The sequence below is a fragment of the Homo sapiens genome, chromosome 11 (assembly GCF_000001405.40).
Source record: "Homo sapiens chromosome 11, GRCh38.p14 Primary Assembly".
Taxonomy (NCBI): Eukaryota; Metazoa; Chordata; class Mammalia; order Primates; family Hominidae; genus Homo; species Homo sapiens.
In genome coordinates, this window is record NC_000011.10 from 18,351,880 (window position 1) to 18,371,013 (window position 19,134).

A 19,134-nucleotide genomic window follows, 5' to 3' on the forward strand; every position below is an offset into this window, starting at 1 on the left:
GGCGAAATTACAAGAGTCCATTGAATATGAAGACTTGGGGAAAAATAATTCTGTAAAAACGATTGCACTAAACCTCAAGAAGTCAGATAGGTAAGTTTGGTCAATATTAAGCAGAATAGCTATGTAACAATTCAGTCCAAAATATATCCTACAAGTATAGCACTCATGTTTTAATCAGTTCGTCACCATCAAAGTACAATATCCTTTTCTGTTTAAAATTTAGGCTTCTCAGGAAGCAAAAATGATCAAACCCATGACAATAAATGTGGATCTTTCTGCTGTTGCTTTCTTATTGCCCTTATGGGAATTAAATTATTTTATTGAAATCTCTTTACTTATCGTTTCTTGCCTTGAGGGGAACTTAGTACTGACTGCTAAAATGTTGCAAAGACAAATGTTGAGCATCTTTACTGTGTGTGATTAGTAATTTCTTCTGTGCTAACCTGCAGGTATTATCATGGTCCAACTCCAATCCAGTCACTACAGTATGCAACAAGTCAGGACATTATTAATTCTTTTCAAAGTATTAGACAAGAAATGGAAGCTTATACACCCAAGTTAACTCAGGTAGGTGACTTCTACTGTTTGAAGGCCAGAATTCCCATAGTTCCTTCCTCAGTTTATGAGCACAAGCAGATTGAACCATACAACTAATATTTTAATTGGGCTTAAAGACATAGTTCTGCTAAATAAATTGAAAAAATCAAGAGGTAGCAAGAAAAGGTGTTTGGCATATTCAAGAGGCATCTGAAGATAAGATGATAATGAAAAAAAATAAGTTGATGAATTTTGTGATTTTTACTTCCATATACTTTTATTGGGAAAATCTCCCAGGTTTCCAAATTCTGTCTGGACATTATTCTCTGAATATTCTGCATGACTCAGGCTTAAAATATGTAAAACAGCTCATCATTGTTCTTTGTTTCTCTTCGTACTTCAGTTGATCAGCAATTTGTCAGTTCTGCCTTCAATAATACTTCTTGATTCTATCACCCTTATTTAGGCAAACCTGATTGATTTTCCATAATGCTACTGCAAGTTGTCTTTCTAAAATCACTTATTTTGGCCGGGCACAGTGGCTCACGCCTGTAATCCCAATACTTTGGGAGGCCGAGGTGGGTGGATCACGTGAGGTCAGAAGTTCGAGACCAGCCTGACCAACATGGTGAAACCCGTCTGTACTAAAAATTTAAAAATTAACTGGGCGTGGTGGCACACACCTGTAATCCCAGCTACTCAAGACGCTGAGGCAGGAGAATCACTTGAACCTGGAAGGCAGAGGTTACAGTGAGCTGACACCGCGCCATTGCACTCCAGCCTGGGCGACAAGAGCGAAGCTCCATCTCAAATAGATAGATAAATATTTAAATATTTAAAAATAAAAACATGTATTTTATCACTGCGGCTTGAAAACCTTCACTGCCTCCCTTCACTGCAGTAGTCTGAGTGCCTTTGTCTGGCCTGCAAAACTCTTTATAGTCTGGCCCCAGCCCACTACTCGAGTCTCATCTTCAGCGATAGTCTCCGCTACTCCCTTCCACACATGGCCAAGGGTTCCAGCCTAACACACTAAGCTGTCCAGAATCTTTTGATCACATTATCTCCTTCATGCTTCCTGTGCTTCGGCTTATGCTCTTTCTCTTTAGAATTCCCTTAGCCCTGTTTCTCCCCCAAGGAACTAATAATTACTCAAGACTCAGCTCCAGTTTCATTGCCTCTGGAAAGTAATCCTTAACTAGTGCAAAGAAGAATTTGTTTTTTCCTTTTCTCCGTTTTTATGAGCACTGAGGCACTGAGTGTATACCTATATTACGTTATTTATCACACATCAAGACTTACTTTTTTACTTTTTATTTTGAAATCTCAGATTTTACAGAAAGTGACAGAAAAATATGTTTTCCAACCCATTTTGAGAGAAGGTTACAGGCATAATTTCCCTTTACCCCTAAATATTTCGATGTATATTTTCAAAAAACTAAGACATTCTCTTAAATAACAGTACAATTATAGAATTAGTAAGTTAACATTGATGATGTGTTATCTAGTCTATATATCTTACTACATTTTCACCAGTTATACCACTAATGTTCTACATAGCAAAAGAAAGCTTTTCTTGGTCCAGCAGACAAGCTGGGTTTATGAGTTGTATTTATTTCTCATGTGTTTTTAGTCTCCTTTAAAATGGAATGATTTGTCAATCTTTGTCTTTTCATAACTTTGACATTGAAAGAGTACTGGGCAATTTTTTGTAGAATGACCTTAAATTTACCTAATGTTTCCTCATGACTAGATTCACATTAGGCATTTTTGCCAGAAACTCCACAGAAGTAATGTTGTATCCTACTCAGTGTGTCATATCAGGAGGCAAATGATTTGTATATATCCTAGCTTGTGATATTAAATTTTTTCACTTGGTTAAAGGTAGTATTTGCCTGGTTTCTCCACCAAAAAGTTAACTATTTTTCCCTTTGTAATTAATACATATCTTGTGGAGCTGTACTTTGAGACTATATAAATACCCCATTTGTCACCAAATTTTTTATTTTTATTTTTTAATATTATTATCTTTAGAGACAGGGTCTTGCTCTGATGCCCAGGCTGTAGTGCAGTGGCACAGTCATAGCTCCGTTCAACCTCAGACTCCTAGACTCAAGCAATCCTCCTGCCTCAGCCTTCTGAGTAGCTGGGATTATAGGCATGTGTCACCACACAACAAACTTACATCTGGTAGTTTTTTTAGAATCACTGATGATTCTTGCCTGGAAGAGCAGTTGTTAAATGATGATTTTCTAATTCCATCAGCCCTTCTATGTATATCAGCTGACATGAAAGGAAGAGCATTCCCTTCTCCTCTGTTTGTTATTTATATCAGCATGGATTCATTTATGAGTTAAACACTGTTGCTATCTTTTTTTCTTTGTTTCTTTTTGTTTTTGTTTTTGTTTTTGAGATGGGGTCTCACTCTGTCACCCAGGCTGAAGTGCAGTGGCATGATCTCGGCCCACTGCAACCTCCACCTCCCTGGCTCAAGCGATCCTCCCACCTCAGCCCCCCAAGTAGCTGAAACCACAGGCACTCACCACCATGCCTGGCAAAGTTTTTGTATTTTTGGTAGAGACAGGGTTTTGCCATGTTGCCCAGGCTGGTCTTTAACTCCTGAGCTCAAGCAATCCACTCGCCTCGGCCTCCCAAAGTGCTGAGATTACAGGCCGTTTTTTTCTTTTTCCTTTTTTTTAAAATTTTTTTAATTTTTCTTTATTTTTTTTTTATTTTTATTTTGTGAGACGGAGTCTTGCTCTGTTGCCCAGGCTGGAGTGCAGTGGCATGATCCCCACTCACTGCAAGCTCCGCCTCCCAGGTTCACGCCATTCTCCTGCCTCAGCCTCTGGAGTAGCTGGGACTATAGGCGCCCGCCACCACGCCTGGCTAATTTTTTTGTATTTTTAGTAGCAACGGGGTTTCACCGTGTTAGCCAGGATGGTCTCGATCTCCTGACCTCGTGATCCACCCGCCTCAGCCTCCCAAAGTGCTGGGATTACAGGCGTGAGCCACCACGCCCAGCCTTTTTTCTTTTTATTAACCAAGGTACAACTTAACATACAGTAAAATAAATAAATAAATTTACTTATTTATTTATTTATTTCGAGACAGGGTCTCACTTTGTCCCCCAGGCTGGAGTGTAGTGGCACAATCTCGGCTCACTGCAGCCTTGACTTCCCAGGTTCAAGCAATCCTCTCACCTCAGCCCTCCAAGTAACTAAGTAGCTGGGACTCCAGGCATGTGTCACCATCCCTGGCTAATTTTTATATTTTTGTGTGTAGACAGGGTTTCACCACGTTGCCCAGGCTGGTCTCGAACTCCTGAGCTCAAGCGATCCACCTGCCTCAGCCTCCCAAAATGAAATTTATCTTTTTAAGTCTGCTATTCTACAAGTTTTGATAAACACATGCTGTTGTGTAGCCACCAACAAAATCAAGATTTTAAAAAACCGGTTCTGTCACCCCAGAAAGTCTACCCATGCCCCTTTACAGTCAAACCCTTCCTACCCACTTCACACAGGCTCTCCTGTGTCTTTCTGACAATATCCCCGTCATTCTTAGCCCCTCCTTACTGAATGGTATAGTAAGATAGATGTTCCAGGCTTATCTTACATCTGCCCTGTCCCAGGCGTGGAATTTTCTTTTTAGCACTGAGTGGATCAAGGTAGGAACCAAGATCTGGGACCGGGCACAGTGACTCACACCTATAGTCCCAGCACTTTGGGAGGCCGAGGCACGCAGATCACTTGAGAGCTCTAGACCACCCTGGCCAACATGGCAAAACCCCGTCTCTACCAAAAATACAAAAATTAACTGGGTATGGTGGTGCGTACCTGTAGTCTCAGCTACTCGGGAGGCTGAGGCAGAAGAATTGCTTGAGCCTGGGAGGCGGAGGTTGCAGTGAGCCGAGATCGCACCACTGCACTCCAGCCTGGGCAATAGAGTGAGACTCTGTCTCAAAAAAAAAAAAAAAAAAAAATCTGGGCACTAGGTATACATTGGGGTGTCATTGTCCCTTCAGCAGAAAGCTAGAAAATACATATGTGTACATAAATGCACACATAACCAACCTGGGATTATTTGACCAATTCTTTCAATGTAGACTATAGTTGTCCAGTATCTGGCCCTTGGGCCCGAGTAGACCCACATAACTTTTGTCTTGGGGGTGGTGGTGTTTGTTTGATTTAGAGGTGAGGTTTCTGTCACCCAGACTGGAGTGCAGTAGCACTATCATAGCTTACTGCAACCTTGAACTCCTGGGCTCAGGCGATGCTCCCACCTCAGCCTCCTGAGTCACTAGGATTATAATTGTAAGCCACCATGCCCAGCTCTCCCCATGTAATTTTTTTACACTGTAGTCAATCTTTGTTTTTTTTTTTTTTTTTTTGCAGTCAGGGTCTTGCTTTGTTGCCCAGGCTGGAGTGCAGTGACACCATCTCAGCTCACTGCAGCCTCAACTTCCCCAGGCTCAAATGATCTTCTCATCTCAGCCTCCCAAGTAGCTAGGACTACAGGCATGCACCACCATGCCCAACTAATTTTTTTGTATTTTTTGTAGAGACAGGGTTTCACCATATTGCCCAGGCTGGTATCTGACAAAAGGAAAATAGGAATAAAGTGAGCTCCAATGTCCCCTTCACTCATGGTTGTCCCATACTGTACTTTTACACTAAGTTGAAAAAATGTTTTCATCCAATCTATACATGGATGGATTTCTACTCATAAAAACTTCATTGGAAAATCTTAGAGATGCTAACCCTGCACTTGCTGTTTCACAAATTATTTGTTCCTCCCTATAGCAGTGCCTCCCTACAGTACCTGGCACTTGATAGGCACTCATCGAATAGATAGGTCAATTTTTTCCTAAATGTTGATGTTGATACAGTGGGGAGTATATTTTTCCCCCTTTTGGCTATATTTATTCACTTCCTTGAAAATTAAATGACAGTTAATAAATTTCTGCTCTTTATTTTTTTTTCCCCCACTCTGTTATCAAGGGTATATGTTAGCAAAGCCAGGTGCGGAGTACACACCTGTAGTCTGTCCCAGCTACTCAGGAGGCTGAGGGAGGAGGATTGCTTGAGCCCAGGAGTTCAAGTTCAGCCTGGGCAACATAACAAGATTTTGTTTCTTAGAAAAATAAATTTAACAGAAACAAAGGATACAGGTTAACATGTTGTTTTACCTGTTTTCTTTCCTTAAACTCAATTTTACCTTCAGTGGTAAGAGTTCTCATATTAAATTGAATTGGTACTTAAGAAAGGGCTTTAACTAGGCAAAACCTTGGGAGTTTTGAGGTCCCTGTGGACTTGCCTGGCATGCCTGGGAGATTTGTAGGTATCTTCTTTCTACACGGATTGTGTTTCTGCCCTCAAGGAAAATAGTTCACTTTGACCACTGTAAATGATGTAGTATTTAAACAAAAGGAAAAGCACTTCATTGTCTGCTCTAAAACTAAAATGTTAAGAAAGAGAGGTGGCAAAAAAAAAAAAGGGAGGAAAACCAGTTTTAATGCATCTTCATTTTTTTCAGGTTCTCTCAAGTAGTGCTGCCAGTAGTACCATCACAGCACTGTCACCTGGAGGGGCACTTATGCAGGGAGGAACACAGCAAGCCATAAACCGTATGTGCCGGGCCATCTTCTACTACTTTCTGCCTAAATCAGCTTTAAAAAGCAAGCTGGGAGGAGTGCTGAACTTTTATTGGTTTTTCCTTGGAATAATCCTGGGATTTCTATTTTGTAGATTTGTTTTTATACATTCAGATTCTGAAACACATCTAGACAAGATCTTAGGTTTCAGAACCGTCTTACTATTACAAATAGTGGTACATTGCTAGTTTCTCTAATATCATAGTAAAAGCTCCTTTCTTCTCCCCTACCTCTTAGAATAAAGGGGAAACCTGAAAGTTTCTTTGAAATCCCAAGAGCTTTTAAATTTTATGATCTCTCAGCCACAAAATTACTAACTTATCTGAAAATAGCACATCCTGGTTTGGCATTGACAAAGAGTACACATTCAAATTTATTCTCTGAGTGGTCATTTTTTTCGAGACTGTATATGTTAAAATAGCTCTTAACCTATGGGCCTTGTTCTTCTTTTGCAGAGATGGTGCCAAATGATATTCAATCTGAATTGAAACACTTATATGTAGCTGTTGGAGAACTTCTACGACATTTCTGGTCCTGCTTTCCTGTTAATACGCCATTCCTAGAAGAAAAGGTTAGAACCAGTTCTGAAGACAGCCAGATAATTGTGGTAGTGACTTACAAGAAGTTTTGAAATTGGAAAGTTTTATTGAGTCTTACCATGTGACAGACACTGGGATAACTCTTTTGCATACATCGTTTCATGTAAACCTCACAGCATCTTTATGGAGTAGCTATTGGTACCCATTTTATAGATTTGGAAACTGAGATCCAGACGAGTTCCATAACTAATAATCATACAACTTAAAACTTGTATCTACCTCCAAGCCACTGTGAATAGAGACCCAAAACAAATTACATCAATAAAGTTATTTATATTTGATACGTTTTTCAGGGATAACAAAATCCAAAATAAGAACTGACAACAAATATAGCACTAGCTTTTTAACACTAAAACCGCTTTAACCAATTAAAGGACAGTTGACAAATGAAAAATGTAACATTAATAGTAATACTATAAATTGCTTTCATAAACTATGATTAAGTAAAAGATAAAGACCTCATTAAGCACAATAGGCAAACACTTTACAAGCAACTCACTAAAGAATGGAGTGGCCTAGGAAGATTAAGGGGAAATGCTCACACTTACCAGTATGCAGATAAATTACAGCTACAGTAAAAGAACATTTTGGCCAAGCACGGTGGCTCACACCTGTAATCCCAACACTTTGGCGGGGCTGAGGCGGGAGAATTGTTTGAGCCCAGGAGTTGGAGACCAGCCTGGACAACATAGCAAGACTCTGTCTCCAAAAAATACATAAATAAATTTTTTAAAAGAATATTTTTTTCACCTACTAATTTGCAGAAGAACAAAAATCTTAAAATGATCAATGTTGACCAAGTAGCCAAGAGTCCTTTCTTCCACTGCTAGTGTTTTTTTAGATGCTTTTACTTCAGCATTCAAATGAAACTTCAAATGAAATTCAACATTTAGAAATTTAGGAAATAATTAGGAATGCAAATACTTAGCTAGAGATGGTCTACCACTCTCTAAGATAGAGGAAATGGCCTAAATATCTACCAGAAGGGGGTTGGTTAGAGAAGCATTTGGTATATTCATACGTTGAAAGACAATAATTATTTTATTTTATTTTATTTATTGAGTCAGGGTCTCACGCTGTCACCCAGGCTGGAGTGCAGTGGAGTGATCTCTGCTCACTGCAGCCGCTACCTTCTGGGCTGAGGTGATTCTCCCACCTCAGCCTCTCTAGTAGCTGGGACTACAGGCATGAGCCACTAAACCGGGCACTTTGGGAGGCCAAGGCAGGCAGATCGCTTGAGCTCAGGAGTTTGAGACCAACTTGGGCAACATGGCAGAACTCCGTCTCTACAAAAATTATGAAAAGTAGCTCAGGTGATCACCTGAGCCTAGAGAGGTCAAAGCTGCAGTGAGCCATGATGTTGCCACTGCACTCCAGCCTGGGTGACAGAATGAGACCCTGTCTCTAAATGAATGAATAAATGAATGAGTGACTATTTAAATGAGTTGGGATTTTTTGTTGTTTTTGTTTTTTGAGATGGAGTCTCACTCTGTCGGCAGGCTGGAGTGCAGTGGTGTGATCTCAGTTCACTGCAGCCTCCACCTCCTGGGTTCAACCAATTTTCCTGCCTCAGCCTCCTGAGTAGCTGGGACTACAGGCGTGTGCCACCACGCCCAGCTAATTTTTGTATTTTTAGCGGAGACGGGGTTTCACCATGTTAGCCAGGATGGTCTCAATCTCTTGTCCTTGTGTTCCGCCCACCTCGGCCTCCCAAAGTGCTGGGATTACAGGCGTGAGCCACCACGTCTGGCCAAATGAGTATTTATGACTGAAAGATATTCACATTGAAGGGTTAACAATGTGATATAATTGGTATATTTTTATTTTATTTTTACATTTAAAAAAATTCTACAAGAAAAGTAACTTTCATATGTAGAAGATTGTTTTTCTGTTGGTCTCTACAGCTTGAGATTTCTCTGTAATTTATTGTTTCTCATCTTTTTTAGGTAGTGAAAATGAAAAGTAATTTGGAACGATTCCAAGTTACGAAGCTCTGTCCATTCCAAGAAAAGATTCGGAGACAGTATTTAAGCACAAATGTAAGGCAGCAATCTGATTTTTGCCTGATCTTCTTTCTCTTTGTAGTAAAATGATGAAATTGATTTTGCTTTCATGTAAATGAGTAGATACTTAATTTTCTTTTTTTTTTTTTTTTGAAACGGAGTCTCACTCTGTCGCCCAGGCTGGAGTACAGTGGCTCCATCTCAGCTCACTGCAACCTCTACCTCCTGGGTTCAAGCGATTCTCCTGCCTCAGCCTTCTGAGTAGCTGAGATTACAAGCGCATGCTGCCACGCCCAGCTAATTTTTGTATTTTAGTAGAGACGGGGTTTCACCATGTTGGCCAGGCTGGTCTCAAACTCGACCTCAGGTAATCAGCCCACCTTGGCCTCCCAAAGTGCTAGGATTACAGGCATGAGCCACTGCACCCGGCCAATACTTTATTTTCTGTTGCTCAAAGTACTGTTTTTTAATATTGAAATGTGTCATGCATTCAGAAGTATATAAAATACATACATATTTTTTAAATAATAAAATAACTGTCTGTTTACTCACCAATCAGGAAAATTAGTAGAATGTTGCCATAACCCATAGATATTCCCTGAGTGCCCCTGTCCAGTTGCATACCACTCTCTCTTCCCCTCCAGAGGTCATGACTAACCAAAGCATTTGTGATAACCATCTCCATGCTTTCCCTTAGAAAAGTTTTACAATCTGGCCGGGTGCGGTGGCTCATGCCTGTAATCCCAGCACATTGAGAGGCCAAGGCAGGCTGATCACTTGAGGTCAGGAGTTCCGAGACCAGTTCTGGCCAACATGGCGAAACCCTGTCTCTACTAAAAATACAAAAATTAGCCTGGCATGGTGGCGCATGCCTGTAGTCCCAGCTACTCGGGAGGCTGAGACAGGAGAATTGCTTGAACCTGGGAGACAGGGGTTGCGGTGAGCCGAGGTCATGCCACCGCACTCCAGCCTGGGTGACACAGTGAGACTCTGTCTCAAAAAGTTTTACAATCTATGTGTATGTTCTGAAAAATACATATTACTAATTTATTAATTTGGAAAAACTGAGTAGCAAGCACAAACCTAGCAGCGTAAGGAAAGATAGAATTGCCACTACTCATAGTAAGCAAAACTGTTCCTGGGTTCTATTTGGCATCAGCTTCCCTGATTGTTTACAGTGGGGAAAGTCAGTGGATGAGGTATTGAGAAGTGTCACTTTATGCCCAGCATTTTTAGCATTGTATTTAAAACAAGGTTAGAGCAACCACATCAGATCATTTGTATGTGCAGTTATACAAGCCCTCCCAGAGGTACCTTGGAAAGAATAGTACAGTCACGTGTTGCTTAACCACAGGGATGTGTTCTAAACAATTCATTGACAGACAGTTTTGTTGTATGAACCTCACAGAGTGTACTTAAAACCTAGCTATATAGCCTACTATACTTCTAGGCTATATGGTGTAGCCTGTTGCTCCTAGGCTACAAACCTGTACAGCATAGTACTGTACTAAATACTGTAAACAGTTTTAACACAATGGTATGTGTGTATCTAAACATAGAAAAGTTGCAGTAAAAATTCAGTATAAAAGATAAAAAGTGGTCCACCTGTAAAGGGCATTTACCATAAATAGAGCCTGCAGGACTGCAGGACTAGAAGTTGCTCTGGGTGACTCAGTGAGTGAATGTGAAGGCCTAGGACATTACTGTACACTACTGCAGAGTTTACTAACACTGTACACTTAGACTACATTAAATTTACAATATAGCTTTTTTTCTTCAATAATAAATTAGCCTTAGCTTACTATAACATTTTTACCTTATAAACTTTTAAATATTTTTAAAGTTTTTCATTCTTTGGAATAACACTTAACCTAAAACACCCATTGTATAGCTGTACAAAAGTATTTTCTTTGTATTCTTATTCTATAAGCCTTTCTCTCTCTCTTTCTCTCTCTCTCTCCCTCTCTCCGTATAGATATATATATTTTTTCTTTTTCTTTTTTTTTTTTTTTTTTTTGAGATGGAGTCTAGTTCTGTCGCCCAGGCTGGAGTGCAATGGCATGATCACAGCTCATTGCAACCTCTGCCTCCTGGGTTCAAGCGATTCTCCCGCCTCAGCCTCCCGAGTAGCTGGGATTACAGGCACCCACCACCACGCCCAGCTAATTTTTGTATTTTTAGTAGAGACCGGGTTTCACTGTGTCGGCCAGGTTGGTCTCGAACTCCTGACCTCGTGATCCACCCACCTCGGCCTCACAAAGTGCTGGGATTACAGGCGTGAGCCACCACGCCTGGTGCCTTTTTTCTATTTTTAATTTTTTTTTTCTTTTTAAACTTTTGTTAAAAACTAAGACACAAACACACATTAGCCTAGGCCTACACAGAGTCAGGATCATCACTATCACTGTCTTCCACCTCCACATCTTGTCCCACTGAAAAGTCTTCAGGGGCAGTAATGCACATGGAGCTGTCATCTCCTGTGAAACAATACCTTCTTCTGGAATACCTCCTGAAGGACCTGCGTACGGCTATTTTACAGTTAACTTTTTTATATATATAAGTAGGAGTACACCGTAAATAATGATTTTAAAATACAGTAAATAGATAAACCAGTAACATATTCATTATCATTATCAAGTATTAGGTCCTATACATAATTGTACATGCTATACTTTTATACAGCTGGCTACTTAATAGGTTCGTTTACACCAGCATCCCTACAAACGAGTGAATAATGTGCTGCTGTATGATGTTACGACATCACTAGATGATGGGAATTTCTCAGCTCTATTATAATCTGATGGGACCGCCATCATATATGCACATTATGTGGCACATGACTCTAGTTACAAATTTAAGATTCAGTATTCAATAAGTAGGATAAATAAAAGGGGAGTTTTACAATTGAAAGCTGAAAAATCATCAGCAAGATTTTTCATATTTATTTCCTAAATATTCTAAGTGGGTTTTCTTAAAATACAAAACAGCATTACTTATAATCAGATAGAAGCTTGGAGTGTCTTCTCACAGCAGGGCAAGGATGGCAGATAGGTTTCAGGTCATGTGCCTTCTCAATTGATTATAACTGCTTGGAGTGCTGTGTTGGAAAGGATGCTGAGGGCCAGGCGCGGTGGCTTACACCTGTAATCCCAGTACTTTGGGAGGCTGAGGCGGGTGGATCACCTGAGGTCAAGAGTTCGAGACCAGCCTGGCCAACACAGTGAAACCCCATCTCTACTAAAAATACAAAAAATTAGCCGGGCGTTGTGGCAAGTGCCCCTAATCCCAGCTACTCGGGAAGTTGAGACAGGAGAATTGCTTGAACCTGGGAGGCGGAGATTGCAGTGAGCTGAGATCGTGCCATTGCATCTAGCCTAGGCAACAAGAGTGAAACTCCATCTCAAAAAAAAAAGAAAAGGATGCTGAGGCCATGCATAGCCTTGCAGAAGGATATGGTGTTCATGTCTTCCAATTGATAATATAGATACTGCTGCCCATCAAACAGAATAAGTAATTTTTATAGTTTCCAGACAGAGCTAAATATTACTATCCCCCATAATGATAAACAGGTATGGCAGTAAGGGTAATTTTTTTAACTCTGTACCCCTCAGACCTAAACATTGACATGCCAAAGGAATTTAGGACTTCCTGATCTCCATCTCCATCCTCCCAGACTTGGCAAAACTTTACTTCTAAACACATAAACACTGTCCACCTCCAAGGAAACATATTCCAGAGACTTCTACCTCAAAAGTCAGTATAAGCCAGATGCGGTGGTATGCACATGTAGTCCCAGCTACTCAAGAGACTGAGGCAGGAGGATCACTTGAAATCAGGAGTTTGAGACTATAGTAAACTAAAATTGCACCTGTGAATAGCCACTGCACTCCAGCCTGGGCAACGTAGTGAGACCATGTCTCAAAAAAATAAAAAAGATTCCATATGATCCTGTTGACTTCTAGCTATGTCCATGATGAGGGCAAAATTCTTAATCTACTCAAAGATCTATAGTCCTGACCCAAGACATGACATAGCACATTGTGTGAAGCATTGAAACCATTTAGGTTTTCTGTAATCTGCTGAGTTGTATTGAACTCCTGAAATGCTGGAGTTGGAAAAACCCTAAAAATAGCAAACTGTTTCACAAAATTATGCAGAATTAACTGCAGGAGCTTTTGAAAATCAAAGATTCTTGGGTCTCATCCCAGGCCTGTTGAATCAGAATCTTCAGGAGAATAAGGCATTTTTCCAGTGTTCTGCCAAGATGTATATACGGGGCTGGGCACAGCAGCTCACGCCTGTAATCCCAGCACTTTGAGAGGCTGAGGCAGGAAGATTGCTTGAGCCCAGGAGTTCGAGACCAGCCTGGGCAGCATAGCAAGAGTCCATCTCCACTATTTAAAAAAGAAAAAAAAAAAAAACCTGGCCGGGCATGGTGGCTCAGGCCTGTAATCCCAGCACTTTGGGAGGCTGAGGTGGGTGAATCACTTGAGGCCAGGAGTTCAAGACCAGCCTGGCCAACATGGTGAAATCCCATCTCTACTAAAAATACAAAAATTAGCCAGGTGTGGTGGCTCATGGTTGTAATCCTAGCTACTCGGGAGTCTGAGACATGAGAACTGCTTGGACCTGTGAGGTGGAGGCTGCAGTGAGCCAAAATCACACCATAGCACTCCAGCCTGGGTGACAGAGCAAGACTCTGTCTCAAAAAATAAAATAAAATAAAATAAAGTTTATACTACCATCCTGGCCTTAGTTGGCTGACCAGTATTCAAATCTAGAAAATCACAGATATAGTTCAGACCCCTCGTTTGACAGAAGGAATTGAGGCCTGGAGCACAATTGTGACTTTCATATTGTCCTATTATTGGTTAATGACAGGACAGCCATTACAACCGCAGCCTTTTCACTGCCCCCTACTTTCTGTCTTTCCTTTCCACACAAAATGTGTCTGACAGCACCTTCTCAGAGGGCTTGCACATTACCTCATTGACTGGGGAAATACAGAGGAGCTCCGAAACTACACTCTGAAGTGTGTGCCAGATTTGGGTTGGAAGGATTAACTTCCCCTGCTTTTGCCCAGTTGTTAAGTGTCTTGCTGTGTTTTTCAGTTGGTAAGTCACATAGAAGAGATGCTCCAGACAGCCTACAACAAGCTCCACACATGGCAGTCACGGCGTCTGATGAAGAAAACGTGAGGTGGCCATGATGCTTACAGGTTTTGTGAGATTGAGAGAACTATGACCTGCAGCAACTCTGGAAACCTGGCCTGACAGACAAGCAGATGACCTCACAGGAGTGATAAGAAACATCTGCTCCACGCCAACTCCCAGAGCTGATGCTATTGTACTTGCACATTGGAGACTGAAAGGAAAGAAGGGACTAAATGCTGGGGAGGTAAATTAAGACAGAACCAAATGAGCTAAGTTGCAAATATATATATATACACACACACACATATATGTACATGTGTATGTACATATATATTTTAAAAGACTGTTTACTGCAGTTGCTCAGGAACTGCTTTTGATTCACATTAAGCTGCTTTCAGAAATTAAAAAAACACTTTTTAAAGGGTGCATTGATAAAATCTGAGGTTTTTTGGTTGTCGTTTTTTTCTGTGTACATTTTTTTCCTAAGTTTATGGCACAGGGTAGACCTTAAGTATTCCTCCTCCATCCTTCATTCTTCACCCTCCATTGGATCCTCAAGTTTTAATGAATTCCAATTATACCTTACATCAGCAAGTTAAAAAAAGTACTTTAAAATAAAGCAAAGGGAGACTGTTGCTCAACCATCAGGAAACAGTTGTCAGAAGACATCATTGGTTCTGTGTTTCCTACGGAAATAAGAAACGATAAATATTGCACTGAATGTTTGTGGTTTGGAGTCCCTGAATAATAAAGAGGGAATATATTTGCAGAAAGTCGCATAGGGTTTTTTAATGCAGAATTTTGTCAGAAGACAATGGCGCTGCATGTTTTTCTTTGAGTGCAAATGTACATTGCTAAGATTTTTTTAAGATGGCATGTGCTTTGAAAAGAAGATATTGCATTTTTAAGAGTTTAAAAATCTTATGAGTGAGAAATATTAAAAAAATCTTATTTTCACCTCTTTAGAAGAAATAAAAGATGTTTCTCCTATCTCCTTTTCTCTAGTATTTGACTGTTACTGTCCTTGGCGAATCGATAATCATTGCATAGTGACTGAAAAGCCTAAGTGCAAAAAAAAAAAAAAAAGATGTTCTTGTTTCTGAACTTCGTGCCATATTTTGTTCCTGATGGGATCAACTTAATGTTTAAGACTTTAGATGTCTTGTATTAAAAATTACACAAAAAAAGTAAAACTTTTTATACTTACCCTTTTAACTCTAACACATCTCTGGTTTCTCATTATGTGTGAATTTCCTTGGGTGGGCTGCCTGAGAACTGTTCATTTTATTTTAGGCCATGTTACAAACTGGTTATCCTTCATATAATGACTGCTAAGGTCAGAATCTAAGCCAGGCATGGTAGCACATGCCTGTAGTTCCAGCTACTTGGGAGGCTGAGGTAGGAGGATCACTTGAGCCCAGAAGTTCAAAAGTCCAGACTGAGCAACATAGTGAGACTCCATCTCTTTTTTTACAGAAAAAAAAAGAAAAATTTATGAAGACCTTGAACTGGTAAAGGGAAAGAAGCCACATCATTTTCTGCCTTCAGTCTTCCCATTTCTCTTTCAGATCAGTATATGTACTGGTATAATCCCTTAAAATTTACACTTTCACAAAGTACTTTCAAATGTGTTACTGCTACAGTGGGGCAAATAGAAAAATGATTGAAATAAAAAAAAGTGGCTATTGGGCAAGGCAGACATAAGAAATAGAATGTTCTGTTGAGTGCTGTGTTGAAAATTAAGTTGTAAGCTGGGCATGGTGAGTCATACCTGTAATCCAGCACTTTGGGAGGCCAAGGCAAGAGGATCACTTGAGCTCAGGAATTCAAGACCAGCCTGGGCAACATAGCAAAACCTCATCTCTACTAAAAGTAAAAAAAGTTAGCTGGGCGTGGTGGTATGTGCTTGTAGTTCCAGCTGCTCTGGAGGCCGAGGCGGGAGGATTGCATGAGCCCAGGAGATTGAGGCTGCAATGAGCTATGATCACACCACTGCACTACAGCCTGGACAGTAAGACAAAGCCCTGTCTCAAAAAAAAAAAAAAAAAAAAAAAAAATATATATATATATATATATATATATATATAAAGCCTGAAGGAAAGACTTCATTTAAAAGAGCGTTTTAGCTAAGTCTTGAAGGTTGAGTAGGATTTTGTGAGGTAGAGAAGAAAGTCATCTCTTCTAGACTGAGGGAAGAGCATGATGATGAGAAGGTTTGAAAGACTGAAATATGTTAGAAGAACAGGAAAGATGTGTTAGATTGGAGAGTTGGAAGTGACAAGTAAGGCTCAGAAAACCATGTTAATTCAGGTTGTGAATGGCCTTGTATGCTAAAGTAAAATACTCAGACCTTACCTACTAGGCATGGGAGACTTGAGAGAAAGTTTTAAGCAAGTTGCTTTTATGGGGGGGTTTTCTGGTGGTGGGGGGTTAGGCAGGGGTTAAATAACTTGGCAATTAGGACAGATTTAGAAGACTTTCTGAACAAACCACACAGGAAAGCGTCTACATTAAAATGAAGTCCTGGTAAATAGGAAGGGCCTGAGTAACAGCATTTCTACAGTGTATGTGACTAACTCACAGGGAGTGAAGGAATCAAGGGTGATTCACAGAGATAGCTGTGAATTTCATGTCTAGCTTGCACTTGAAATATTTGAGCCTTGGATACCTTTAGCAATGAACTTCAGCAGCTGTATAGGCCTTTTATGGCCCTTCACCTTCTTGCGGAAAATAATAGCACCACTGATGGTTGAGGGCTGCTGTAAACCAGCATTGTGCCAAACACTTTTTCTGCTGTATCTCCCTTCCCACAACTGAAGAAGCAAGTAGATACTACAAGATTTTGTACAGATTAGAAATGGTTTAGAGGTTAAGTAATTTACCCAAATTCACACAGCTAGTAAGTGTCAGAGCTAGGATTTACCCTAAGGCTTCTCTAGTCTGGAGAAGGGATGAGATGTCTGTGAAGTTGCAAGTTGTTATTCCGCAGCCCAGGCTTCCATTGCCTAGTTTTTCCTTTGACTCCTTTGTCATTCCTGCCTGACTCTATTCTGTGCTTTACTTGTGGCAAATCGCATCATGGGATTAGTCTGCCTAGTAGGCCCTGAGGGCTATAAAATGTAATAATGTAACAACAGCATGTCCTGCCTTAGGAGAATGAGTCTTTTCTGGAAAGAAAGTCAGTAGTGGCCTAGCGCAGTGGCTCACACCTGTAATCCCAGCACTTTGGGAGGCCGAGGCGGGTGGATCACCTGAGGTCAGGAATTCGAGACCAGCCTACCCAACATGGCGAAACCCCATCTCTACTAAAAATACAAAAAATTAGTCAGGCGTGGTGGCAGGCACCTGTAATCCCAACTACTCAAGAGGCTGAGGCAGGAGAATCGCTTGAACCTGGGAAGTGGAGGCTGTGTCGAGCCGAGATCAAGCCACTCTGCTCCAGCCTGGGCAACAAGAGCGAAACTCCATCTCAAAAAAAAAGTCAGTAGTGTTAGTCTGCTTTAGACATACTACAAAGTGGGTGAGGTACCTTGTAAAATCCACTTCAGGATGGAAAACAAAAGAATGTTTTAACATCTGTAACTAGAAAGGTAACCCCACTCATCGAGTCTGAAGAGTTTAATCCAGAAAGTGATTTCCTGTTGCATATACCATCTTTCTAGAGCTGACAGTGTCTGGAATGGAAAGCTGTGTGTTTCAAACTTAGGTTTGCTGTCTCCAGTGTCAAGACTTGCATGGGATTCCTTAGGATTACCTCTGCCCTTTCCCAATTTAGCTCCCTCAAGACTCAGCTGTTCTCCCAGTTCTTGAGGCCAGGGGAGTCTTAGTTATTTTCAGCTATTAAAATGTCCAGAACTGGAGTATTGCCTGGAACCTGGTTCAGGAGTGACCAGCCTGAGTTAGTAGTCCATCTCCTTGTTTGGGTGTATATTAAAGTCACAGAAGAGACTGGAAATCTTGTCATCTCGTGGCCACTACTGACTTTCTTTCCATCCTGGGTGGAGTTACATATGTGTGTGTGTGTGTGTGTGCATGCTATATATATGTGTGTGTGTGCAATACATATAGTGAAAACATAATTCGTGGGGTTTTTTTTTCCCTGAGTTTTGAATAGTGCTGAAGTATATAAAATAGAAAGTGTCTCTGTACCCTTACTTCCAAGTCTTTCCTGAGGTGATGGTCAGTGCATCTTCTTCTGGACATTTGTCTATGCCCTTAAATTCTTTTCTAACCTGCAACCTGAGATTTTTCTAACAAAGAGATACCTGTGCACCTGAACATGCCCTTTAAGATAATCCTTTTAGTTAGGCATGGTGGAATGCACCTGTAGTCAGGAGGTAGGCAGGAGAATCACTTGGGCCCAGGAGTTTGAGGTTGCAGTGAGCTATGATCATGCCACTGCACTCCAGCCTGGATGACAGCTAGACCCTGCCTCTTAATTTTTTTTTTTTTAATTTTTAAAAGTTAGAAAATGACCGGGCATGGTGGCTCACACCTGTGATCCCAGCACTTTGGGAGGCCAAGGTGGATGGATCCCTTGAGCCCAGGAGTTCAAAACCAGGCTGGGCAACATGGTGAAACCCCCTTTATACAAAAAAAAAAAAAAAAAAAAAAAAAATTAGCCTGGCATGGTGGCATGTGCCTGTGGTCCCAGCCACTCAGGAGACAGGAGATTGAGATGGGAAGATAGCTTGAGCCTGGGGGGTTCAGGCCGCAATGAGCTGTGTTCACGGCACTGCACTCCAGCCTGGGCAACAGAGCAAGACCCCGTCTCTAAATAAATGAATAAAAAGATAATCCTTAACAAAGGGGCTCATATCCTTAGAGAAGAATCCATTAGTGATCCTATTTCTGCCAAATTCTTGTAAATTTTGGTCCTACCCATTTGTATCTGTTTCTGACACATGGTTATTCTTTTCCTTTTTCTTTTGTCTTTTTTTTTTTTTTTGAGGTGGAGTCTTGCTCTGTCACCCAGGATGGAATGCAGTGGCACCATCTCGGCTCACTGCAACCTCTGCTTCCTGGGTTCAAGTGATTCTCGTGCTTCAGCCTCCCAAGTAGCTGGGATTACAGGCACCCGCCACCATGCCCGGCTAATTTTTGTATTTTTAGTGGAGACGGGGTTTTGCCATGTTGGCCAGGCTGGTCTTGAACTTCTGACCTCCTTCTGATCCGCCTGCTTCAGCCTC

The 19,134-nt window shown here is 40.9% G+C and overlaps 1 protein-coding gene across 5 annotated transcripts in view; it reads left to right on the forward strand.

The window, feature by feature from the left end:
* The window catches only part of GTF2H1 (general transcription factor IIH subunit 1), a 44,479-nt gene extending 29,313 nt beyond the window's left edge, over positions 1 to 15,166 (forward strand). For all 5 annotated transcript variants that reach the window (XM_024448457.2, XM_006718208.4, NM_001142307.2 and 2 more), the window contains 6 exons: positions 2 to 90; positions 450 to 567; positions 6,073 to 6,163; positions 6,646 to 6,761; positions 8,736 to 8,828; positions 13,904 to 15,166. In XM_024448457.2, the coding sequence (XP_024304225.1) occupies positions 2 to 90; positions 450 to 567; positions 6,073 to 6,163; positions 6,646 to 6,761; positions 8,736 to 8,828; positions 13,904 to 13,990 (594 nt within the window). In that variant the 3' untranslated portion in view covers positions 13,991 to 15,166. The remainder of the gene's footprint in view (position 1; positions 91 to 449; positions 568 to 6,072; positions 6,164 to 6,645; positions 6,762 to 8,735; positions 8,829 to 13,903) is intronic.
* Positions 15,167 to 19,134: the final 3,968 nt, after the last annotated feature.